This window comes from Homo sapiens, chromosome 20 (genome assembly GCF_000001405.40).
Source record: "Homo sapiens chromosome 20, GRCh38.p14 Primary Assembly".
Taxonomy (NCBI): Eukaryota; Metazoa; Chordata; class Mammalia; order Primates; family Hominidae; genus Homo; species Homo sapiens.
This window is the reverse complement of record NC_000020.11, coordinates 45,355,052-45,378,574: the sequence shown is the minus strand read 5'-3', so window position 1 is coordinate 45,378,574 and position 23,523 is coordinate 45,355,052. Positions and strand designations below refer to the sequence as shown.

At 48.7% G+C, this 23,523-nt stretch overlaps 2 protein-coding genes and 2 long non-coding RNA genes across 7 annotated transcripts in view, besides 5 other annotated features; 2 read left to right on the top strand and 2 right to left on the bottom strand.

Annotated features, from left to right (window-relative positions):
• Positions 1-15,406, bottom strand: part of SYS1-DBNDD2 (SYS1-DBNDD2 readthrough (NMD candidate)) — a 47,442-nt gene extending 32,036 nt beyond the window's left edge. The window contains exons 1-3 of the long non-coding RNA NR_003189.2: positions 15,260-15,406; positions 14,882-15,046; positions 12,889-12,956 (exon numbers count right to left, since the gene is read on the bottom strand). This is a non-coding gene — a long non-coding RNA (SYS1-DBNDD2 readthrough (NMD candidate)). The remainder of the gene's footprint in view (positions 1-12,888; positions 12,957-14,881; positions 15,047-15,259) is intronic.
• On the top strand, positions 250-6,018 carry TP53TG5 (TP53 target 5). 2 transcript variants are annotated; one of them, NM_014477.3, is made up of 5 exons: positions 250-386; positions 962-1,036; positions 1,233-1,363; positions 3,023-3,536; positions 4,564-6,018. In NM_014477.3, the coding sequence occupies exons 1-5, from the start codon at positions 339-341 to the stop codon at positions 4,666-4,668; spliced, it is 873 nt and encodes a 290-aa protein (NP_055292.1). In that variant the 5' UTR covers positions 250-338; the 3' UTR covers positions 4,669-6,018. The 2 variants fall into 2 exon arrangements, with proteins under 2 accessions (NP_055292.1, XP_011527092.1); XM_011528790.3 differs by having other exon boundaries at positions 250-412.
• Positions 1,777-16,626, bottom strand: SYS1 (SYS1 golgi trafficking protein). 3 transcript variants are annotated; one of them, NM_001197129.2, is made up of 5 exons: positions 16,546-16,626; positions 15,260-15,406; positions 14,882-15,046; positions 12,889-12,956; positions 9,366-11,700 (listed from the first exon to the last, which is right to left on the bottom strand). In NM_001197129.2, the coding sequence occupies exons 3-5, from the start codon at positions 15,041-15,043 to the stop codon at positions 11,460-11,462; spliced, it is 471 nt and encodes a 156-aa protein (NP_001184058.1). In that variant the 5' UTR covers positions 15,044-15,046; positions 15,260-15,406; positions 16,546-16,626; the 3' UTR covers positions 9,366-11,459. The 3 variants fall into 3 exon arrangements, with proteins under 3 accessions (NP_001093261.1, NP_001184058.1, NP_291020.1); NM_001099791.3 differs by lacking the exons at positions 9,366-11,700; positions 16,546-16,626 and adding an exon at positions 1,777-4,281 and having other exon boundaries at positions 15,260-15,419; NM_033542.4 differs by lacking the exon at positions 16,546-16,626 and having other exon boundaries at positions 15,260-15,419.
• Positions 5,173-5,232: an enhancer, noted in NCBI's record as "active region_17950". NCBI's record gives its function as "activates an Ori minimal core promoter by ATAC-STARR-seq in GM12878 lymphoblastoid cells {active_cell/tissue: GM12878}" and the evidence as "EXISTENCE:reporter gene assay evidence [ECO:0000049][PMID:35858748]".
• Positions 9,588-9,647: an enhancer, noted in NCBI's record as "active region_17949". NCBI's record gives its function as "activates an Ori minimal core promoter by ATAC-STARR-seq in GM12878 lymphoblastoid cells {active_cell/tissue: GM12878}" and the evidence as "EXISTENCE:reporter gene assay evidence [ECO:0000049][PMID:35858748]".
• Positions 9,718-9,807: a silencer, noted in NCBI's record as "silent region_12957". NCBI's record gives its function as "represses an Ori minimal core promoter by ATAC-STARR-seq in GM12878 lymphoblastoid cells {active_cell/tissue: GM12878}" and the evidence as "EXISTENCE:reporter gene assay evidence [ECO:0000049][PMID:35858748]".
• Positions 10,308-10,357: an enhancer, noted in NCBI's record as "active region_17948". NCBI's record gives its function as "activates an Ori minimal core promoter by ATAC-STARR-seq in GM12878 lymphoblastoid cells {active_cell/tissue: GM12878}" and the evidence as "EXISTENCE:reporter gene assay evidence [ECO:0000049][PMID:35858748]".
• On the top strand, positions 15,207-16,219 carry LOC124904914 (uncharacterized). The gene is made up of 2 exons (XR_007067609.1): positions 15,207-15,507; positions 15,749-16,219. It is a non-coding gene; the product is annotated as an uncharacterized LOC124904914 (long non-coding RNA).
• Positions 15,250-15,689: an enhancer, noted in NCBI's record as "active region_17947". NCBI's record gives its function as "activates an Ori minimal core promoter by ATAC-STARR-seq in GM12878 lymphoblastoid cells {active_cell/tissue: GM12878}" and the evidence as "EXISTENCE:reporter gene assay evidence [ECO:0000049][PMID:35858748]".
• Positions 16,627-23,523: the final 6,897 nt, after the last annotated feature.

Below are 23,523 nucleotides of genomic sequence, written 5' to 3'. Positions count from 1 at the left end.
TTGAGTAGATTATTCAACCTCTTTGAACCCTGGCTTCCTCATTTAAAAAGAGGGGATAATCCTCTTACCCCACAGGGAGGTTGTGACAATGCACACAGCTGTCTGTCGCCTATTGTCTATATTTCTTTCTCACCCTCTACCCCTCACCTCTGCCACATACACTCCTTGGAGACCCAGCCCTGCTACTGTCACATTTCAGTGATGTCACAGCTGCAGGTGGTACAGAGCCAGCACCACCATCTGATGCCCAGCCTGAGTGCTGGCTGAACTGAGAGGAACAGGGTTGGTGCCTGGCACTGGTGTTGCTCCATTCATCTCTGAGGTCTCACAGCCCCAGCATGAGTCCATCAGCAAAGAAGAGGCCCAAGAACAGCAGGGTTTCCAAGGTCAGACTTGGGACTAGACCCTGGGGGTGAGTCCCTAGAGGGGACCTTAACAAAGAATCCACCATGCCAAGGAAAGGGGCTTTCCAGCATGGGAGAAAAGGAAAAGGTGAAGGGTGAAGGGAGGTCAGGAGAGTTAAAATGGTCTCCCAGTTCTGTCCCCAGACCAAGATGACAAAACTCCCAGCCTAGGATTGGTCAAACCATGCTCAGCCAAATGAAGAGGCACATGGAGGAGTTCAGGAGGATTCCTCCAGTGCCTCACTCTGTCGCCCAGGCTGGAGTGCAGTGGCGAGATCTCAGCTGACTGCAGCCTTCACCTCCTGGGTTCAAGTGATTCTCCTGCCTCACCCTCTTGAGTAGCTGGGACTACAGGCGCATGCCACCACACCTCGCTAATTTTTGTATTTTTTTTTTTGGTAGAGTCAGGGTTTCACCATGTTGGCCAGGCATCTCAAACTCCTGACCTCAAATGAGCCACCCACCTCGGCCTCCCAAAGTGCTGGGATTACAGACATGAGGCACCACACCTGGCTGATTCCTCTGGGTTTATGTCTCTCTTATCCTCTGTCCCTCAGATGCAAGATGAGAAACTGCGGGACGAGACAGAGCAGCCTGTGAGCAAAGTAATTGAGCGGAACCGTCTGAGAACGGTGAGACGCCCTGTTTTGGCCCCAGCTTGGGGAAGCTCATATACTCATGCAGTACTGCCCCTGGTTGCCAGGCTGAGTGGCCCAGGGGAGCCAGCAGGCCGGCCCTTGGCTGAGCGGAGCCAGAGGCAGGCAGGGGAGAGGGAGGCTGTCCAGGAAAGCTGAAGCTTCTATTTACCTGGTTTCTTGACCCTGGCAGGTGTTAAAAAACTTGTCGCTCTTGAAGCTACTCAAGAGCTCAAACCGCCGGATCCAAGAACTGCATAAGCTGGCCAAAAGGTGTTGGCATTCACTGCTCAGTGTTCCAAAGATTCTCCGCATCTCCTCTGGGTAAGCTGGGGCCTGGCCCCCATAATGGACCCAAATGCCGTCTTTCTGGGAACAGGCATTGTGCTAAGGCATTTAGAGAACAAGTCTAATTTTCACAAAGCCTCTGTGAGAGAGGTATTTATTAACTCTATTTTACTGCTGGAGAGCTGAGGCTGAAGAGGTGAAGTGACTTGTCTCATTCAGTTAACTCAACTGATAAGTGGCAGAGCTAGGATGTGAAGCCATTCCTGTCTGATATTAGAGCTGTGGCCATAACAATGGTTGTAATCATCCAGTTGTGGTGCTCACTTCACCCTGGGGCACTGAGACAGACAGGTTACTCCTCCTCCTCCTCCCCTGCAAGTCAATATAACCCAGAGAGTCACCTGCAGACTGACCCCTGAAATCTGAAGATTAATCTTGCTGAGGCTTGGTTTCTTTATTAATTTATTTTTATTTTTATTTTTTTTTACCATGCCTCCGAGACAAGTTCAAACCGTTTCCTCATAAGTCACATGACAGTATTAAGAAAGCTAACATTGATTGGTGCCTGCTAAGTACCATCCTACAGTGTTAAGCACTTAAGAATTTTCCCATTTAGTTTATTCTTCACAACAATCCTGTTAGGTAGACAGAATTATCCTAGTTTTACAGATAAGGAAGCTAAGGCTCTGAGAGGTTAAATATCTTGCCCAAATCACACAGGTGGTAAGAGGCAGAAGCAGAATCTGAGCCCGTTTGTCTGAATCCAACACCTGTGCTCTGTAAGCCACTCTGTTTCACTGCCTTCTACTTCACAGAAATAGTAAGGATCCCAAGTTGTAAGGGTCCCGAGTCTGGCATAGAGCGAGGACTCAATCAGCGGGAGCCATTATTATCATCACAGTATTGCCATTATCTGCAGCCCAAGGCCTCATCTCTCTCCACGCCCTTGGCTAGGATGGTGTTGCCACTGGGGGTTTGCAGGGGGCCCAGTCTGTTACAGACACCCTTTGGGAAAGTCTCAGCATTTAATATTTCTGTCAAGGCCACCTTTCTGGGCTCCTCTTTCTGATTTGGCCTCTAGTCGCAGGCAATCAGGAAACATAGAGCTAGAAGGATCAGGATCATCTAGCCCCATCATTTTCCAACTTAAAAATTTTTTTTTTGTATGGAGACAGAGTCTCACCATGTTGCCCAGGCTGGTCTTGAACAGTTTTCCAACTTTATTAAAGCAGTGAAACCTCTGTTCAAATATCTATTTCCAAGCCCCAATTGTGTTGTTATGAGCTGGGGAGAGGTATCCTGCCCCAGTGGGTCAGGGGAGGTGACATTGAGACACCTCCTCAGAACCCTAAGGTTCTTGGAGCACAATTTAGAAAAACTACTGGACTGTTCACCCTCCCAGCTGAAGTCCAGAGAGACAGAACCCTAATCTAGTGGCAGATGATGTAGACAATATTCATTCTTAGGGGCCTTAACTACTAGTCATGGCTTTCACCTTCCCAATCTCTCACATCCCTCTGCTAGTGCTCATCACACCTCCTCACACCAGCACAAGGCCTCTGGGCAGTAGAGAAGTTTCTTTGCAGGCCCCTCTAGCCTTTCTTAACAGGCTCCCCTGAGCTGGCTACATAGCAACTGTCTCGGGAACCAGGGCCTCGGTCCTGCTGTGCTGACTGCCTTTCCTCTCCCTGCCAGGGAAAACAGTGCCTGCAATAAAACAAAACAAAATAATGAAGAGTTCCAGGAGATCGGGTGCTCCGAGAAGGAACTCAAGTCCAAGAAATTAGAGTCCACAGGGGACCCTAAGAAAAAAGAGTACAAGGAGTGGAAGTCCCAGGTGCAGTCAGGGATGAGGAACAAGGAGAAAACGTCATTGGCGGCAATGCCACGGAAAGAAAAGCATATAGAGCCTGAGGTTCCAAGGACATCGAGGGATGATAGCTTGAACCCTGGAGTCCAGGGGAGGCAACCACTCACCGAGGGCCCCCGAGTCATCTTCATTAAGCCCTACCGCAATAGAACTCCCATGGGGCACATGAAGCAGCTGGATGTAGCCGACCAGTGGATCTGGTTTGAGGGGCTGCCCACACGAATCCACCTCCCGGCGCCCAGGGTGATGTGCAGATCCTCCACCCTGCGTTGGGTCAAGCGCCGCTGCACCCGCTTCTGCTCCGCATCACTTGAAATGCCTATGTGGCATCCATACAAGGTGGGTGTGACAACAACACTGCCAGGCTAGGTGAGATGCAAGCCCCAAGCCAGGCCCAGAGCTGGGCCCCAGAGTCAGGGTTCAGGATCTGGAGTCTTGAGTGGTGTGTGGCTGGTAGTGCTGGGAGGCTCCGCCTTCATGTCCAGAGAGGGGGAAGCCTTAGACCAACATCATACAGAAGGGTAGTGACTAGGTTGAGGCGTCTCAGGATACAGCTAGGAGATGTGTGGAAGGAGGGGCACTGAAGTGAGCCATCTCACTGCCTGAAGGCCTTAGCAGAGGTGGAAACTGCTGTGGCTCTGAATCTCACAGTCAGAGGCCTACATAAGTGGGTTTAAGGATTTCCAAATGTGGGAGGGGGGAGATGGTCAAGTAGGGCTTTGCTGCATCCCATTCCCTCTAAGATCAATTCAACTCTCTATTTATGTTTGATTGATTCATGCCTCAAATAAGATTTACTCTGAACAGGCTAGGCATGGTGGCTCACGCCTGTAATCCCAGCACCTTGGGAGGTCGAGGCAGGAAGACTGCTTGAGGCCAGGAGTTCAAGACCATCCTGGGCAACATAATGAGACACTGTCTCTACAAAAAATTTAAAAATTAGCCAGATGTGGTGCCTTGCGCTTGTAGTATCAGCTACTCAGGAGGCTGAGGTCGGAGGATCGCTTAAGCCCAGGAGTCGAGGCTGCAGTGAGCTGTGACTTCGCCACTGCACTCCAGCCTGGGCAAGAGAGCAAGACCCTGTCTTAAAAAAAAAGAAAGGAAAAAAAGATTTACTCTGAGCAGAAAGTTCCTTAGCAAAAAAAGAAGAAAATACCGCAGCCCTTTCGTGGGAGAATGAAAGTCCCACGAAAGGAAGGGGGTGAGTGCCCACCGGGTCTAGCTTAAAGGGAGGCTTTTCCTTTTTAGCAAAGGCATTTCCAACCTACCAGACACCACAGCACCCTTGTCCCTGCGCCCGCTCCCCAAACGACCAGCGCCCCCTGGGGACAGTCTTAGCGCCTAACACCGAGGTTTCTGCTGGCAGGTTGATGTGACCTGGACGAGAGCCAGAGGTGCGAGCAGAGGGTGGAGATCGCGCCATCAGCTGAAGGGGAGGAATGGGTGGCGAAATTCACGAGTCTACAAATAAGATCTTCCATATGGCACCTAAGACGAATACTGCTTACTCTGCCTGTTTGTCTGGGGCTGGGAAGGATGAAGGAAAGAGGCCTTCGGTAGAGGGAGCCTGTGTCGCGACTTCAGGCTTCCCCCACCCCCACCCCGAGGCCCCTAAGGTCAGTCTAGAACCAAAGAAGCCAGCGAGCAGCACCCCTCCCCCACCTCCGCGAGCTAGTCTCCTGAGTGGCGCGCTCTGTGAAGTCAGGGCGCTCGTGTGCTTCCTGGGTGCAAAGTGCCTCACAATCGCCCCGCGAGCTCGCAAGAGGAAACCGCGGCGCGGAGGCAGCAAGTAACTTGCCCAGGCTCACTCAGCTAGAAAGTGGCAGGAGCAAGGGCTCCTGGTTGCTCCCCATTCCATTTTCCCAAGAAAGGGAAAAGGCGAAATGAGAGCCTGCTCAGAAGTCACGAGGCAGGCGGAATAGCCCCAGCACCCTGTAGGTCATGCGCGTGCATTGCGACCTGATTGTCAAAAATTGATTGTCAAAAACTGATTGCACTGTGGCTGGTGTCAAAAAGTGGATGTCAGCTGGGCCTCCAAATGTGTCCTGCCTTGGTCACAGATCACAGAAGGCACCGGATCAGGAGGGGGAGCTGGTACTGCATCTCTACTGCTCCAGGGTGACATGGCAGGTCCACCCTCAATCTGAAGACCTCAACCCCAAGCCCTGGTCGACCCCATCTGGCCGGGGTCACCCTCTGTCGGTAGGAGTCACAGGGTCCTAACCATGCCGTTGGGGAGAGGAAAGCCAAGGGAGCCCGAGTTTTCTCCGGACGAAGACCTCCATATTCCCCAGAGGCAGGCTGCATGGAGTGGGCGCCCTCGGGAGAGCAGTGGAGCCATCGAGGGGCACAGAGCTCTCCGGGATTGGGGGTCAGGGCAGCGATGCAGATAGATCTCCAGTTTGGGACAGAGGGAGAACGATTGGATGGACTCTCCCCCCCTCCCACCCCGCCCACTCACACACTCCTCCCCACCATTACTGGGCACCAAGACTGGGCATCAGCTGCCGCGCGGACCAGCCTGGGCGGAGCCACAGCGCGGGGACTGCTTAGCACCTCATAGTGGCTGCTGCGTGCTCCCGAGCTCCTGCTCCCAGCGCAATCTTCCTGGAGCTCCCCTACGGTCGGTGCCTACCTCCGCCCCCACCACCCCGCTAATTCCCGTGCAAATTCCACCCCAGTAACCACTTTCAGCGGTCTTCCCACCCAGCTTGCACTCCAGCCCATTTCCTGAACAGTCTCCCTTGCAGTTCCCTTGCTGGGTATTTTCAATCCCATCAACTTTCGAAAATAATCTCTACTCACTCTTCCATTCCATCAACCTTTGCGTGAACTTCTGTCCTGAGTGCGCTGTCAGCGGGCAGTCAAGACAGCGCCCTCCCAGCTAAAAAATCTGACCCTTTCTGGGGAGCTCCCTTGCACTAGCCTTCGTGGGGGCCTGCCCAGGGAGCCCCAAGTGGAGGCTGGATTGGGTTGGGCCTGAGTGAGACTGGCAACTTCCACTTTGCTCCAGAGAGCCGGAGTTGGGCCCCAGTTGCCCACTGGGAACGCCACTGAATATATGGGAGGGCTGTATACGAAGGCGGGGACCCAGCATGGCCAGGGCAGCAAGGGGCAGGTCTGGGAGTGAGGGAATCCCAGCAGTACATCCTTCCACCTCATCCCACCTGCCCCGGCACTTAGGCCTCTGGCCACCTGCCTCCCACAATTCCACAACCAGGGTCTCCCCACTACCACCCTCTCTTTGTTTAACCATTTCAACCTAAAGCTCCTCCTCTGGGCCCAGTAACACAGATTTGGGGAGGAGGCCACCCTAGAAATGGCTGCTTAACAGTTAACTGGGAAAAAATTGAAGTGTTTGAATCTGATTTTATATTGAGTGACTTTTTAGAAGTCACATGACCTCTCTGAGCCTATTTCATGTTTATAAAATAGTGATACTAATGTCTGTTTCAGGGGGGTTTAAGCAAATCAAGCTTGATGTAGGAGAAGCCAGTTTGTGGGGCATTGAACAAATGTTTGGCCTTTTCCCACGCCACACCACGGCCATCATAATAAAGCCCTGTGGCCAGTCAGTCCCGGCTCCATTTCTCACTTATCAGCAGCTACCTAACTACTCACCTTTATGGAACTAGCTGCTTGTTAACAAGCCAAACGTACGTTTACATTCACAACCTTTTGCTAATATGGCATTTAGATCCCTAAGACTGTCCGTCTCACAATTGTCTGGATCACACATAAACATAACTGGAACGTGAAAAGCAGATGAGGCAGACAGGCCTAGCTTCTTACCAACTTTGTAATGGGGAAAAAGTTGTTTACTCCCAATCCTCTGTTTCTTTGTCTGCAAAATGGGGGAAATAGTAGTGCTTACCTTATTGGACTGAGTAAGAATACACATAAATCACTTTGCAGTACATGCCAGATAGGAGCTCAATACTTGGTAGTGGTACCTAGAGGACTGGCAAGCCTATCCCCCAACATTTGAAAACACAGGCTCAGAAGAAAAATGTCCCTGTTCTGTAAAATGGATAGGGGGGACGGTAGCCTAATAATTGTCTAGAATTATGGATCACTTCCTACGTGCCAGGGGCTGGGCTAGGCGCTTTACACGTGACATCTTATTGCATCTTCACAATAAAACCAGGGAGGGAACACTTTTTCCATTTTAAAGAAGTAAGTGTTGACCTACCAGAAAACAAAACAAAACAAGACAAAACAAAACCCAGGGAAATAAGTACCATTATTACCCTCATTTTACATATGAGGAAATCTAGGTAAGGGAGGTAACATAGCTTACCCAAGATCTCACAGCTAGTAATGGGACTCCAGGACTTTGCACTCCACTGCAGCTCTCTAAAGCCTTCCAGAATTGGACCTATGACTGTGACTTGCCCAGGTAGCGGCAGGGCAGGGATTAAAACCCTCAGCTCCCTCTACTCCCTCCTGCCTCAATGCTATTTCTACCACCCTTTATTACTTTACAACAGAAAACCTTAAGACAGTGGTTTTTAATCTCTCCACAGAGGAGTTCTCTTGTACCTTGATTCCATCCCTACTCCTCTGCCCTAGGTCCCCAGGGCCCTACCTCTGAGACTCCGTGGTCCCTGGGCTGCCGGTACAAGGAGGTGTTGCATACCTGTGCACTGACTGCCTTCTGGGGCTGGCAGAAGGAAGCTACTCTGACCTGGGAGTTGCTGAGGAAGGAGTCCAAGGGGATTCCTGTCCAGGGGAGACTGTTTGAGCTGTGTACCCTCCAGGATGCTGGGAGTCCTGGAGCTTCCCATTGTACCCCCTGATGTCTGCTGGCTGCCATCGTGGCTCTCATTTGGCACTGATATGGACAGGGCTGCCTAGAGCGAGGGGTTAGAAGTACCCTCTGAGCCAGACATCCCTTTTTCCTTTCCTGTCCTCCTTTAAGGGTTATAAACTATTCTGACCATCAGCTATGTAGGAGTCTCCACTTTTCTCTCTGAATGGCCAGAGTTCAGGTGGTGGGTGGGAAAAAGGGAGGTCAACTTCAGACACCTGGAGAGTTAAGAGATATGCCAACTCAGTAGTGGGCTAGTACTCTCTTATCTAGGTACCTTCCTTTATCCTTTGGAAATAGATTTCCCACATTCCTAAGATCATCTGAAAATCTCTGGCCAATGCTGGGCACAGTGGCTCATGCCTGTAATCCCAGCACTTTGGGAGGCTGAGGCGGGTGGATCACTTGAGAGGCCAAGAGTTCGAGACCAGCCTGGCCAACATGATGAAACCCCGTCTCTATGAAAAATACAAAAATTAGCCAAGCATGATGGTGCCAACCTGTAATTCCAGCTACTTGGGAGGCTGAAGTATGAGCATTGCTTGAACCCAGGAAGCAGAGGTTGCAGTAAGCTGAGATTGGGCCACTGCATTCCAGCCTGGGTAATGAAGTCGGAGTGAAACTCTGTTTCAAAAAAAAAAAAGGCCAGTTGGGCTTGGTGGCTCACACCTGTAAAATCCCAGCACTTTGGGAGGCCGAGGCAGGTGGATCTCTTGAGCCCAGGAGTTCGAGACCAGCCTGGGCAAAGTGGCAAAGCCCTGTCTCTAAAAAAATAAAAATAAAAATAAAAATACAAAAATTAGCTGGGCGTGGTGGCATGTGCCTATAGTCCCAGCTACTTGGGGGGCTGCGGCAGGAGGATCATTGAGCCTGGGAGGTTGAGGCTATGATGAGCCAAGATCACACCAGTGCACTCCAGCCTGGGTGACAGAGTAAGACCCTGCCTCAAAAAAAAAAAAAAAAAAAAAAAAGGAAATCTCTGGCTATATTTAATGTACTGCATATCAGCTTTTCTTAGAAAGCTAGTAATGTTTATAAAGTACTATTCATCCTCGGTATTTAAAAAAATTGACAGGACAAGAAGATATGATTATAAGGTGATAAACTATTTAACCAGACTGTTTAGCCAGTCAGAACTTATACATCCCTAACTACTGACCTCTTCAAAATGAGCTTATTAATATCACTATTAGAGCCCAAATCCTGGCTCTGCCAGCTCCTAAAAAGTCACCTTGGGTAAGTTCCTTACAGCTCCCTCATCTGTAAGATACAGATGACGTTACTTCTTACTTCAGAGGGTTCTTGTGAAGATTTTGAAAAGAGACATAAAGCACTCAGCCCACACTGCTGGACACCTCTTAAGCACTCAATAGATGTTATTTATTATTAAAATGACAAACATGTCACTGCCATTGCCCTGCCCTCTCTGGAACTCAACTCTAAAAACTGCTTTTATTGTTACTTTAGAAATCATAAAAATCTCATTAAGGTCACATATTTTTGATCCCCAACTACCATGCAGCTCAGTCTCCATATTACTGAAAAAAAGTTTGGATCACGTGACTTTTGGCCATTTCTAAAAATCAAATTAACACTCAGGGGACAGAGATTTGTCATCACAGAAGATATGCAGAAAAATAGGCACAAGACCTTGAAGTGAATCCCAAAGAGGCGCTCCAACCACAGATGGAGTAACCACCACCACGGCTGGTCAAGGGTGACAGCAGCCACATGATGGGTGTTCTTTCAAAGTTAGTCACATGCCTGCAGTTTGTGTTGTCTAGAGGGAAATTGATTAACCCAGGGAAGGTCATCCCAGCTGGTCTTACCTCCTAGACCCTGCAGCCAGGATTACTGTGCCTCATTAACAAACTGCTTCCTTCCAACTTGGCCAAGGTACCATGAGTTACTGAGGTGCCTCACCCTAGAACCTTCCCAGTCTCTTCCCAGGCATATTTATTCCTAAATCTTCATCCTGTCAGCATCAACTCCCTACTCTGTAGGGCTGAGAGTCAGGAGGTCAGATGAGCTTCTCAGAGAGATAGCAAAACTCATTTGTGTTACCATAAACTCATTTGTGTTACTGACAGCTGAAAACTGACAGCTCTCTTGGGAAAGCTCTGAAGAAACCAAAGAGGAACAGTGAAGGTTTCAATGCGGAAGTGGGTCTAGACTGTGTGCCGCTCCATTGAACATGTTCAGAAATCACTAGCAAGTAGGAACGGAAACCCAAGAATTATGTGGTTCACCTGAGGCATAGCAGGGGACGCTGCAAGTGAAGGAGACAGGATGTAAGAGTTCCCTGCACTGAGTATTTTAACCAAATGGAGGAATGACTCTGGGGTCCAGGAAAGGGAGAAGGTGGCCTAATAATTCTTTAAAGTTCCCTTGCCTGGCTGCGCTGATCTCTCTCAATCTCAACCGTGGCATTACAAAGTAAGTGCAGGCAGAACCATGGAAAATACTGTATTTGTATACACAGGAAGGATAGCTGCAAGCCCCTCACAGAGGAAACTCCACCCCAAAGAAAAATCTTAGCAGCAAATTCCTATCTCCCTCAGCACTATCAGCACAGCCCAGGCCAGAAGGTTGGGCTTCTTGTCTCTGGGAACCCATCATACCCTTCCCGCCAAAGAATTCTAAATAAGGCAGGAAAAAAAATTGGAGTCCAGTGGGAGCTGGGTGCCTGGTCATTCCTAGAAGACAGGCAGTGTCTTTATGATGGTTAGACTTTGAGCAACGCTGGGATTCTTCTCTGGGTCCTATGGCCTGCTATGTTGAGAGCTGGCAGCAGGATGGGGACCTGGTAGAAGGAACTGGAAGAAAGTCATAGGTTCTTGGGTGCACATGAACGTGTGTATAACAGGGCACAGGTTGTGCATTTTCCTTGTGCTTGATGCCTCCATCTGCCATCCTCTCCCTGACAGCAGCCTAATACTTCACACCTACATTTCTTTCTGTGGCTCTGGATCCGGAAACCAAGCGTTTCTCCAACAGAACTGCTGTGATTCGGCAACACTGCAAAGGTAACTGCTGTGATTCGGCAACACTGCAAAGGTAACAGCTGTCCCAGGGGGGTAAGACAGATGACTAAAGAAGTGGTTTGCTCCAATCAGATATCCTTGATTTTTTTTCTCTCTTAAAACAACAGGCTGGTGACAGGTATTGTGGCTCAAGAGTGGCATGGTTCCAATTCTGTTATTACCCTCAAAGAGGTCCCCTTCCTGACCTCTCAGATACCAAGGCTTCAACAGACAGAGGTCATTCTTGCAGCTGTCATGCTGACTGCTACCTGCCTTCTTTGACAGGCCCTCACTATCTCTCCCAAACCAACAGAGACTTCACATTTCCAGGGTTCCTCTCAGATCTGGGCTGGACCTCATCTGGAGGGTCTGAGCAGCCCAAGGTGTTAAGGGGCCCAAGTGTCAGCAGGATGTCCAAAGGGCCTGATTCTAGACATTGGATTTAGGGGCTGAGTTGAGGGGTATCTCCTTGAGCTCCGTCCGCATGCACAGGTACTCCCCGATGACAGCCATGAGTGCAATGCACACGGCTTGGACCAGCCACCAGGTCAGCGCCGAGGGGAAACGGGAGCTGTAGAACCAGCAGCCCAGGAGGTGAAAGAAATGGACAGTGACAGTGAAATCCAGACACTGCTTTCCTCGCCGGATGAAGTACAGCAAGCCCAGGGCACTGTGGGGAGAGGACAGCAGTGAGTTGTCACTGGGTTGTCCTGGCCTTAGGTTATTTGGGAGGGTAGGGACAATTAGGACGGCAGCATAGTGGTCAGAAGTGACGAGATAAGTGTGAAGCAAGGGTTATGATACCAGACGCCTAGAAGAACCTGGCGGGTAATGTCAAGAGTGAAGCTGACTGAGTATGAGCTTGATGATCGATGGCAATTGTCACTAGGGGATCCTAGGAATTGGTGGGGATCATGACACCCTGAAGCATACATGTTCTAGCTAAAGGGGGGCAGTAGCTACTTGCATCTAGGCAAATCTTATCATGCTAGAAGGTTGGCCTGGAATCAGTCAGTCATTCCATTATTCAAGAGAAGCCAGAAATCTGGATTTTTATATAAAATAGCCTGATTTTCAACTAAGTGAAAAAAATGTTTTAAACACCATGTGTGGGCTGACATCTATGTAAGCCAAATAGAACCTATCTGGAAGACAAATTTAGGTCAAAGTCAGCCCACCAGTTTTCAACCTCCGGTGTAAGGACAAGAATAATAATAACATGCAAGGCACTGTTCTAAGTCCTTCTTGTGAATTAACTTATTTAATCCTTACAACTATGAGGTAGGTAATATTACTAGCCCCATTTTACTGATGAGGCAACTGTGGTAGATTAACTTGTCCAAAGTCACTAGACTAGTAGTAAAGCTGAGGTTCAATGCCAAATGAGTCTGCCTCCAGAGCCTGACACCTTGACCACTATGCTAAACTGCCTCTTAAGAGACAGGCAATGATTACGTGTGACCTTAGACATCACTGAGTCCAAACCCTCATGGACAAAAGAGGAGCCTGAGGCCCATGGCAAGTAACTTGGCCAATGGCACACAAACCAAGAACAGAACCCAGTTCTCCTGCCTCTCGGTCGAATCCTTTCTCAGCTCACTCCACATCAGGGAAGTTATCTGAGATGGAAGTTGTCTTGCAGGCAGCACAAACATAGTGACATAAGAGCTTTCCAGGTAAGTCAAAACAGCAATGGAAGGAGGCCCATTATACAGCTGGTCCCAGAACTGGCCTCTGTCACCCACTTTACTCCACCACTCCCCAGAAACAAGTGCCAGCCTGTCTCATGTTCAAACTTAGGAAGTTAGTCCCAGCACTAAGAGCCCAAAAGCTGGATAGCAAAACTGGTGATACTCACCAGGTGAGGGCGTTGAGGATGAAGGACATCATGGAGAGCCGGCCTGGAGGGGTGGAAAAGCCCAGGATCTGAGGGGGAATCACAAATGGAAATATACTGGAGAAGTGACTTGGCAGAGCCCCAGGATCTCAGCAAGCCTCCTAAGGAACAAGCATTCTTCCCAGAGCACAGAAGATAATACCTCCCTACATCTGTACGGCAGCCTATTTCCAATAGGTGCTTTCATAGACATCCATTATGGGATTTCATTTGTTTCTCACAGCAGGTGGAAAGGGATTATTCTCATTTTACAAAGGAGGACGTAAAAACTCAGACAAGTTAAGTTGCCCAAAGTAATAAACAACAAGAGTAAAGTCTAGAACAGCGTTCAGCTGACTATGGCTCCATAGGCCTGGCATCTGCTCCTGTACATAAGGTTTTATTGAAACACAGCCACACCTATTCACTTATATATTTGTCTATAGCAGCCTTCTGTGCTACAATGGCAGAGCTGAATAATTGTGACCTAAAATCCTTACTACTTCACCCTTAAAGGAAAGGTTTGCTGATCCCTAGGCTAGAACTCAGGTTGTGTGCATCATATGGCTCTTCAACAAAGCCTGGCATTCCCACAGCTCTTCCCAGGAGCATAGAGTCTCCTACGAGACTACAACTAGGCATATGGTGGGTGTGCAACCTCCACTATCCAACACAATACTATCAAATGCCAAACATCTGCACCACACTTTCAGCTGACAAAGAAAGGTCTTTGACATACATAATCTCATATTATCCCTAAAAAAACCTCACAAAGCCATTCTTCTTCTTTTAATTCTTATCACTTTTTGGATAATAACTTGCCCAAGGGCTAACACAGAGAACAAGCAGCAGGAGCAAGGACTCCATCCCAGGTCTCCTGGCTTTAAGAACTGTGCTCGGCCGGGCGCGGTGGCTCACGCCTGTAATCCCAGCACTTTGGGAGGCCGAGGCAGGCGGATCACGAGGTCAGGAGATCGAGACCATCCCGGCTAAAACGGTGAAACCCCGTCTCTACTAAAAATACAAAAAATTAGCCGGGCGTAGTGGCGGGCGCCTGTAGTCCCAGCTACTTGGGAGGCTGAGGCAGGAGAATGGCGTGAACCCGGGAGGCGGAGCTTGCAGTGAGCCGAGATCCTGCCACTGCACTCCAGCCTGGGCGACAGAGGGAGACTCCGTCTCAAAAAAAAAAAAAAAAAAAAAAAAGAACTGTGCTCATCACCACGCCACAGCTGCCTCTTAGATGTAACAACTTATAGGCCTCCTTTACACTTTACAAAGTACCTTCTTATTCCTAAACCCCTCTGGGCCTTGTAACATTTTGTTGAGGGCAACATGGTAGGAGCATCCGGCCCACTTTTCAGAAAAGGCTCAGAAAGGGGAAGCAACTTGCCCAAGGTCCCACAGCTAGTTTTATATGTTTAGGCCTAGACTGAACCCTTGCTTTTCTGAACCCAAAGCACATGCTCTTTATATTGCAGTCCACGACCTCTCTGCAACTAGTCTCATGGTTTTGAAGACAGGAAAACAAGTTCACAGAGGTGACATTTGCCCCAGGTCACACAGCTAGTAAGTGGATCTTAAACGGACGCCTGTCTGACCCCAAAGTCCAGGCAGTTTCCACTGTACCCGCACGAATGCTCTTTTATCCACCCCTCTCTCCGATGTGGCACCTGAGAACCTAGCTCAGAGAAATCAAGTCACTTTCCCAGAGTATCAGAAAGGAAATGTATCAGAGTTGCCTGGAACACAGACGTGTTTATTGTATTAACATCCAGGCCCTTTTCTTTGTACTAATCAGCCTCTGCTGTCATTCCATTTTATGGATGAGGCAGCTGAGGCTCAGAAAGGTGAAATCCCTTTCCCAGGGCTACAAAGAAAGAAGGTGACCCAGCCACGTCTACAGCACAGTAGTGATGGACCACAAAGCCTACTCGGGGAGGCCGAGACCCCACCCGCCCCAGTCCGGGGACCCTACCTCGGCGTCGAACATCTGGTCCAGCGAGGGGCTGCTTCGCACTAGCCCGTCCACCAGCGCCAGCCACAGGCCCAGCGAGCCGTAATACACGGTCTGCATGAGGACGATCTGCGACAGGATCAGCAGCGGGTCCCACACGTAGCTGCGGAACTGACCCGCCATGCCCTGCAGGGACACGAGCCGGGCCTCAGCCAGCGGCCTGTCTCCATGGCAACGTCGCCCCGCCCGGGAGGAGGGACTGGAACCAAGGGGTGAGCCCATTCCAAGAGTCAGGGGGAAGGCGGGGCAGACAGACCCATTCTCAGAGTGAGGGGAAATCCAGCCCATTCCGCCTGCGCGGCCCCCGCCCGTACACGAGCTCCTCTGGGGTCTACTCACCAGTGACAGACTCGACGATCGAAGTGTCTGAGCGTGGCCCGGCCTCACCGGCGGGCTCCCAAAACAGCGCTGACAGACAGGACCATGGAGGAGAGGCGCTGCCGGCCTAGAGAGGCAAAGCTCCAGCGACCACGGCGGCAGGAGCGGCTGCGTAGGAAAGAAACGTTTCCGGGGAAAGCAGCGGAGGGGCGGGGCTGAGGTTGCGCAGGCGTAGTGGGTGCAACCTCTGCCTGAACCTCCTGAACCAGGTACAAGCAGCCGGATAGCGAACTGAGCACATGCGCAGAAGGAAGAGTGAAGGCAAACGGAAGAGAGGAACGAAGGCCGCAGAGCTTGCGCGCCCTCTAGAGGGGAATTCTTTTTTTAAAGGAAGGCGGCTAGGGGAGAGGCAAGTGGGGTGGCTTAGGACGCGGTAATGATGTTTGGGAATTAACGAGGTGATAAACTGTGTCGTTATTTTCAGCCTAAATTCTCAATGTTTTCTCCTAGTTAGAGTCTGATAACTTGAAGTGGACCTGCAAGCTCCTCCACGTAGGAGTTTGCCAATGTTCCCGCTGTACAGATAGTTAAGCTAAGGGCCAGAGAAGGAAAGCAACATACTGTTTCAACGACACAGTTAGTAGCAAAGTAAGTATTAAAATTCAAGTGTTGGTCGGGCGCGGTGGCTCACGCCTGTAATCCCAGCACTTTGGGAGGCTGAGGTGGGCGGATTACCTGAGGTCGGTGTTTCGAGACCAGCCTGACCAACATGGAGAAACCCCGTCTCTGCTAAAAATACAAAATTAGCGGGGCGTGGTGGCGCACGCCTGTAGTCCTAGCTACTCGGGAGGCTGAGCCAGGAGAATTGCTTGAACCCGGGAGGCAGAGGTTGCAGTGAGCCGAGATCACGCCATTGCACTCCAGCCTGGGCAACAAGAGCAAAACTCCGTCTCTAAATAAATAAATAAATAAATAAATAAATAAATAAAATTCAAGTGTTTCCTCAACACTACAACATTGATTTCGCACCTACTCGGTGGCAGGAAGGCTAGAACATGTATATATAAGACAGCCCCTGCCCTGAGACACAGATGAACTATATTAGAAGGCAGAGTAGTGGGTGTTTTAAAATGTGGGTGTCCAGTGGAAAAAGGCACAGGTTCTGAAGTCGCACATAGGAGTAAATCCTGACCCTCTCTGCTGCCATGACTGTTTTATCTATCTTCCAAATCCGAATAGTGGACAGTCAGTAAATATTTGCTGAATGAGTTAAGAACAGAAAAAGCAAGAGCAAATCGATAACTCACTTATTCCTACTCCAGCAGACGAAAACCCATCAACTTCATTGATCCTAGGTTCCCCCTCTCTGAAGTGGAAAGACGGGAAGTAAGTTGTTCCAGGAAAAGAATTTGGGTTTTAGGGCCAGCTATGCCACCCAGTGTGACCAGCAAGCCACTTCCTTCTTTAAACCTCAGCTTCCCTGTTTATGAAATGAGGAGTTGGACATGATTAACGTTTTCCACCATTTAATCTACCTTCCAGTAATTATTTTCTCATTAAAAAAAAAACTTAGGCTGGGCACAGTGGCTCATGCCTGTAATCCCAGCACTTTGGGAGGCTGAGGCGGGCAGATCACAAGGTCAGGAGTTCAAGACCATCCTGGCTAACATGGTGAAACCCCATCTCTATTAAAAATACAGAAAATTAGCCGGGCCTGGTGGCAGGCGCATGTAGTCCCAGCTACTCGGGAGGCTGAGACAGGAGAATGGCGTGAACCTGGGAGGCGAAGCTTGCAGTGAGCCGAGATTGCGCCACTGCAGTCCAGCCTGGGCGACAGAGCGAGACTCCGTCTCAAAAAAAAAAAAAAAAAAACGTATCAAAGAGCCATGTAACTGCCAATCAGAATTTCTGAACAGCTTGTGGTAGCCGTGTTATCACCTTGAGCTGATACAATTCCAGACAAAAGTAAAGAAACTTGAGACTTTATTGAGAGTGTGCGATTGTCCTTATCATTTGGAAATACCCTGAACAGTTCCCCTGGACTCCAGTTGGGGAGTTATTAAGGCCCAAAGATTTCTTAGGTGCTTTCCAGCTCAACCATTCTTTTAGGCACCTCAATTCAGTCCAACAAATATGTATTCAAATTCCTCTAGTTCACTGATTATGCACATGATCTAGTGTTTCTGAGAAAACATCTGTTTCTTAAGTGCCTACATGATCTTGTTTAATTCTCACAATCTGAAAATATAGCTATTGTCCCCTTTTTATAGGGGAGGAAACTAGGCTTGGGGGGAGGTGGTGTGACTCTCTAGGTCAGAGAGCTCACAGGGAGCAGAGCTGAGATTCAAATTCAGGACAACTGACTCCAAACATCAAGATGACTTTTAGTTTAGTTTTGGTTTGGTTTAGTTTGGTTCTTTGAAACAGGGTCTCAATCTGTCACCCATGCTGGTTTGCAGTGGCGCAATCATGGCTCACTGCACCCTCAAACTCCCAGGCCCAAGCCTCGGCCTCCCGAATAGCTGAGACCACAGGCATGTGCCACCACACCTGGCTTTTTTTGAAACGGAGTCTTGCTCTGTCGCTCAGGCTGGGGTGCAGTGGCATGATCTTGGCTCACTGCAACCTCCGCCTCCCGGGTTCGAGCGATTCTCATGCCTCAGCCTCCTGAGTAGCTGGGATTACAGGTGTGTGCCACCATGCCCAGCTAATTTTTGTATTTTTAGTAGAGATGGGATTTCACCATTGTGGCCAGGCTGGTCTGGACTCCTGACCTCAAGTGATCTGCCCGCCTCAGCCTCCCAAAGTGCTGGGATTATAGGCATGAGTCACCATGCCTGGCCCGCACTTGGCTTTTTTGATTTTTCATTTAATTTTATTTTTTTGTAGAGACAGGGTATCCCTATGTTGTCCAGGCTGGTCCTGAACCCTGGGCTCAAGCAATCCTCCCACCTTGGCCTCCCAAAGTGTTAGGATTACAGGCATAAGCCGCTGTGTCCAGCCAAGATGCCATTTTAGAATAAAAGAACAGGAAAGAAGGGAGGAAGGGAGGGAGGGAGAGGGAAATAAAGGAAGGGAGATAGTAAAATAGGTGGTGGAGTAGCAGGAAGTGGAAAAGGGGCAGTGAATCTCTCTGCTCAGTTAGCCCTGGGGTGAGGGATTAGGGAGAAATGGGAGGAAAGGCTTAGAAAAGGGCTGCAGAGGTTGACAATACCCAGGGCAGCTGTCTTCCTTGCAGATGCTGGAATGCGTGGCTCTTCCTGGGCTCTGCTCCCTTCACGTCACAGCTGGGCCCACTCCACCCCATCTCCTCCCAATAGGAAAGGCCCTGCCTACCCATTCTGCTGAACTAGAAAACACAGGTAGCTTTTGATATTAGGGCTGGCTGGAATGTCTGATGTCATCCCTGGAGTCCGGAGCTCACCTCTGGGAAAACCCCACTGGGCGTGCAAGCTAACCTCCTGCCCTTTCCTTTCCCCTTTGGGAGTTCAGTTCTTGGATTCCCGCCTTGCCAAGCTTCGGAAATGTACATCATCCTCCGTCTTAATTTGGATCCAAGAAGGAAACCAAGAGCTGGGGAAAATCATGGCAACCCCTTTGTTTAGCTTCATTGGCCCATTTTCAAATTTGACCACAAGCAGTCTGCTTCAGACCACAGAGTCTGAACTAGAGCCCCACTGGCTTGCTATGTGACCTTGGGCGAGTCCCCTGGTGGGTCCCAGTATCCCAAACTATCAAATGAAAGAGGGACATTGGACTCCGACTTGCAGATGCTGTCATGGCCCTGTGCCATCTGAATCACCTGAGGAACATACTGGATATTCAAATTTCCAGTCCTTGTTTGCAAACCTAAGTCCAGTTCAAGTCTCCCAAAGCAGAGTGTGGAAATCTGTGTATTTAGAGAGCTCCCCAAGTGATTCAGAGGTGCACCCACATTTGATAACTACAGCACAAGATGATCTGTAGTTGACCCTAAACCGGCTCCTTCATCCAACAGAAAACTGCTCTGTGACCTTGGCGAGTCACATTCCGGCTTCAGGGTTTTCTTCCATCTGTAATATGAGGGGATTGGATTTGAATAGCTAGCTGGTCTACGAGGGTTCTTCCTACGCTGCCAAGTCTGTGGTTCCAAACTTATGAATGAAATGTTAAACTTCAGGTCAGAGGCAGAGTGACGAAAAGCCACAAGCTGGGACAAACTGTCCTTTGGGTGGAGGGGAGGGGAGTGCCTCTGGTCACTTGGTCTCTTTCGTCACTTTCACACTGGGGCCCCACTGCATGCATGTAAGGACAATCGCTAAGGTCACCTTCTGGATCCACCCCCATAAATCCCTTGGGAAATGTTCTCCCATAGGCCCATAGGCTTGAGAGCCCTGCTTAGATTCGAATCCTGGCTCTCTGGCTGTCTTGCTGTCCTGCTGGGTGACCTTGGGAAAGTTACTTCATGTCTCTGAGTCTCAGTTGGTTTCCTCTTCTATAAAGTGGAGTTCAGAATAGTACCCATGTTATGGGCTGTCCTGAGGGTCAAATGTGTGCTTAGTCCACTGCCTGATATGCAGTGGGCACTATGTTAACCTCAGCAATGTTAATATGATTGTTATTATTTCTTCCTCTGGAATGTGGGAACGGAAATGCCTGATCTCAGATTTATGGCAAGGATCTAACAATGTATCAGACAAGTCAAGCCCGGTGGCTGGCCCATAGTAAGAGCACATTAAATGTGATACCTTCTCTTCCTCCTCTCACCCCTACTGTCGTGTTCTCTAGATCCCTCCCTCTCTCCCTTCCTCCCCCTCTCCCTTCCTCCCCCGCTAGGCTGCCCTACTGCCCTGCTCACATGTTTCCTTTCAGGGAATATTTGATGAAGACACTTCAGTAGAAACACGTGTCTCAGGGACACGTTATGCAACTCTGTGCTCACAGGTTTTTGGAAACCCCACGTGGGAGGCTTGGAGTTGGCTGCCTGTCCTCTACATCGGTGACCATCCTGGGCTCTGGCCAGTGAGTTCCTCTCTTAGAAGGAAAACTGGAGAGAGAGCTCATTAGCTGCCTGGTTTCTCCTCCAGACCGAAAACCCCTTTGTTACCCAGGTTGCTTTAAGTGCTGTTTGTGTCTGTGTTTGGGGAGGAATATTTGCTGAGCATCTACTGTATGACAGGCACTTATATAATTTAATCCTTATTTAATTTCTAAAACAAGCCTGTGAGTTGAGAACTATTAATAGCCCCACTGAACACATGCAGATCCTGAGGCTCAGAGAAGGGACATTTACCCAGAGCCATGCTGCCAGTGAGTGGTAGAGCTGAACTCCAACCCAGGCCAGTTTGACTCCACACACTATTCCTTCTCAGTGTGTAACAAAAAGCGCACTGAAGGCCAGGCAAGGTGGTTCATGCCTGTAATTCCAACACTTTGGGAGGCTGAGGTGGGTGGATCCACCTGCAATCAGGAGTTGGCGGCCAGCCTGGCCAACATGGAGAAACCCTGTCTGTACAAAAAATACAAAAATTAGCCAGGAGTGGTGGTGCATGCCTGTAATCCCAGCTACTTGGGAGGCTGAGGCAGGAGAATTGCTTGAACCTGCGAGGCAGAGGTTGCAGTGAGCTGAGATTGTACCACTGCACTCCAGCCTGGGTGACAGAGTGAGACTCTGTCTCAAAAAAAAAAAAAGGCACTGGACATTACAGTGACATACAGCTTTCATCTACCTGACCTCATCTTATTGTTGCAACAGCCCCAGGGATGTAGGTATAAACATTGTCCACATGTTACAGGTAAGGAAATTGAGGCTTAGAGAAGGAAGTGACTCACACTCAGTACACATTGAGGTGTGGCATGTCTTGTCAGCTGGAATAATCAAAAGTTAAGAAACATCTGGGGTGTCTGTCTTTCCACTCTAACTTTCCACCCCAACCTCCCTGTTCTTTCCTTCACACCAGAGGGAGTCAGGAAACTGGTTTTCTGTGTTCTGTGTCTAATGATCAGGGGTTTTCTGCAAACCCTCTATCTATGCAGGGTGGATGATGCCAGGCATGACAGTGGGTGGAAGGACCTCTGAGTACAGCCATCCCTCAGCATCCATGGGTGGTTGGTTCCAGGACTCCTGGCAGATATGAAAACCCAGAGAAGCTCAAATCCTTTATATAAAATGGTATAGTATTTGCATATAGTCTATGCAATCTTCCCACATTCTTTAAGTCATCTCTAAACATCTAATACAATGTAAATAGTTGTGAAACTATATTTTAATTTTTATTTGTATTATTTTCATTGTTGTACTGTTGTTTTATTTTATTTTATTTTTAAGACGGAGTTTCACTCTTGTTGCTCAGTCTAGAGTGTAACGGTGTGATCTTGGCTCACTGCAACCTCCGCCTCCTGGGTTCAAGTGATTCTCCTACCTCAGCCTCCTGACTAGCTAGGATTTACAGGCATGTGCCACCATGCCCGGCTAATTTTGTATTTTTAGTAGAGACGGGGTTTCACCATGTTGGTCAGGCTGGTTTCGAACTCCTGACCTCAGGTGATCTGCCCACCTCAGCCTCCTAAAGTGTTGGGATTACAGGTGTAAGCCACTGTGCCCGGCCTTTGTTGTTATTTTAGAGACAGGTCCTTGCTCTGTCACCCAGGCTGGAGTGCAGTGGCGCTATCATATCTCACTGCAGGCTCACACTCCGGGGCTGAAGCAATCTTCCCACCTCAACCTCCTGAGTAGCTGGGACTACAGGTGCATACCATCAGGCCTGGCTATTTTTATTTTATTTTATGTAGAAAAGGAATCTCACTATGTTGCCCAGGCTGGTCTCAAACTTCTGGGCTCACGTGATCCTCATGCCATGGCCTCCCAGAGGGCTGGGGTTACAGGCATGAGACACTGTGCCCAGCCTCACACCTTCAAGTTTTCTTACCTTGATTCTTGACCCCATCCATCATGTACTAAACTTTCTGTCCCTACCTAGAAATTATTCTTTATTCTGACCTTAAAGGACTCAGGGCCTTGTTTTAAGATGAAAAGTTGTTTTTTTACACTTCCTTTTTATCATTATTTATTCATTCAATCATCTACTTGATAAATATTCATTGAGCATTTATTATGTGCCAGAAACTGATCCAGGTGGTATGGATATAAATGAATAAAGTGAATAAAGAGAAAATACTCTAATCTCATAGAGGAGAGAGATGATAAACAAGTCAATCAACAATATAAAATCTAGCGTCAAGGAATGTCAGTATACTCAGAACACCAACAGTGTGGGATTCTGTTATAACATCAGAAAATGGATGAATACAATATTTATCTCTGCTCCTTTTAGGACAGGACACTTGGGAATCAGGAACAGGAATCAGGGCTGTAAGTTCAGTGAGACAGCATGGTGATGCAGACAGAATCAAAGAAACTTGAGTTTGAATCTTGTATCAGTCAGCTTTTGCTACTTAACAAACACCCCACAAATCTCAGGGGCAACAGAAATGGATTTCTCAATTGTAGATTTGCAGGTGGGTTAGGGCAGCTTTGTTACAGTTACGGTTTTGTTGTCATTTCTCCTTGCTCCGCCTGTTTTCTCATCTGTAAAATAGAGATAAAACTACTTACTTCACAGCATCCAAGTGAAGATGATGCTCAACACTCCCTTCTGATTAAACATACACTCTGCTCAGGGTATGTGAGAAGCTAAATGTTCAACCTCTAGGCCAAATAGTAATCCAAAAAGTGGTCTGGGCTGCAGGCGCTTACTTAAGGAATAAGGAAGGCCATTGGCCAAGCCAATGAGTCTTGTGGTCCCCTCCCAAAATTTAGACTAGAAGAGAGAACCAGTAAGTCAGTAAAAGAGAGAGAGGCACACATCCAGGAAAAAGAAGAGACACTCTTAAAGAAAGAATAAGCAGGCTTAAAGAGCAAGAGATGAGTCAGCCAGTCTGTGGCATCATCTCAGTCCTTGATGTTTCCCTTTCAGTTTTAACCTTTAGCCCTCCCGGTCCTCCTAATAACTCCTAAGCCTTTTCTTAAGGAGTCCTGAGTGAGGCATGTTTCCTCGCAATTGCAAGAACTGAGCTAAGACAGAGAAGATGCATATAAAGTTGCCAGCCCACAGCTTGGCATATAGTAGATCCTCAGTCTACTGTATAGCTGGCAGCTATTGTCCGCTAATCAGGGAGCTGCTTAAGAACACGGACAGGTCTTGTTCACCAGGATTTATCAAAAAGCTTCTCACATACAAGATATTCATCAGATGTTTTTTGGATAAATGACCAAGTGAGTGAATTGCTACATCTGAGCCTCTAAG

Bases quoted from the DNA above. Each gene is read 5' to 3' on its own strand.
- SYS1 (NM_001197129.2), bottom strand. From the start codon at position 15,043: ATGGCGGGTCAGTTCCGCAGCTACGTGTGGGACCCGCTGCTGATCCTG. The intron at 12,957-14,881 runs GTAGGGTCCCCG...ATTCCCCCTCAG, and splicing joins ACCAGATGTTCGACGCCGAG to ATCCTGGGCTTTTCCACCCC. The intron at 11,701-12,888 runs GTGAGTATCACC...CTCTCCCCACAG, and splicing joins ATCCTCAACGCCCTCACCTG to TGCCCTGGGCTTGCTGTACT.
- TP53TG5 (NM_014477.3), top strand. From the start codon at position 339: ATGAGTCCATCAGCAAAGAAGAGGCCCAAGAACAGCAGGGTTTCCAAG. The intron at 1,364-3,022 runs GTAAGCTGGGGC...TCTCCCTGCCAG, and splicing joins ATTCTCCGCATCTCCTCTGG to GGAAAACAGTGCCTGCAATA. The intron at 3,537-4,563 runs GTGGGTGTGACA...TTCTGCTGGCAG, and splicing joins CTATGTGGCATCCATACAAG to GTTGATGTGACCTGGACGAG.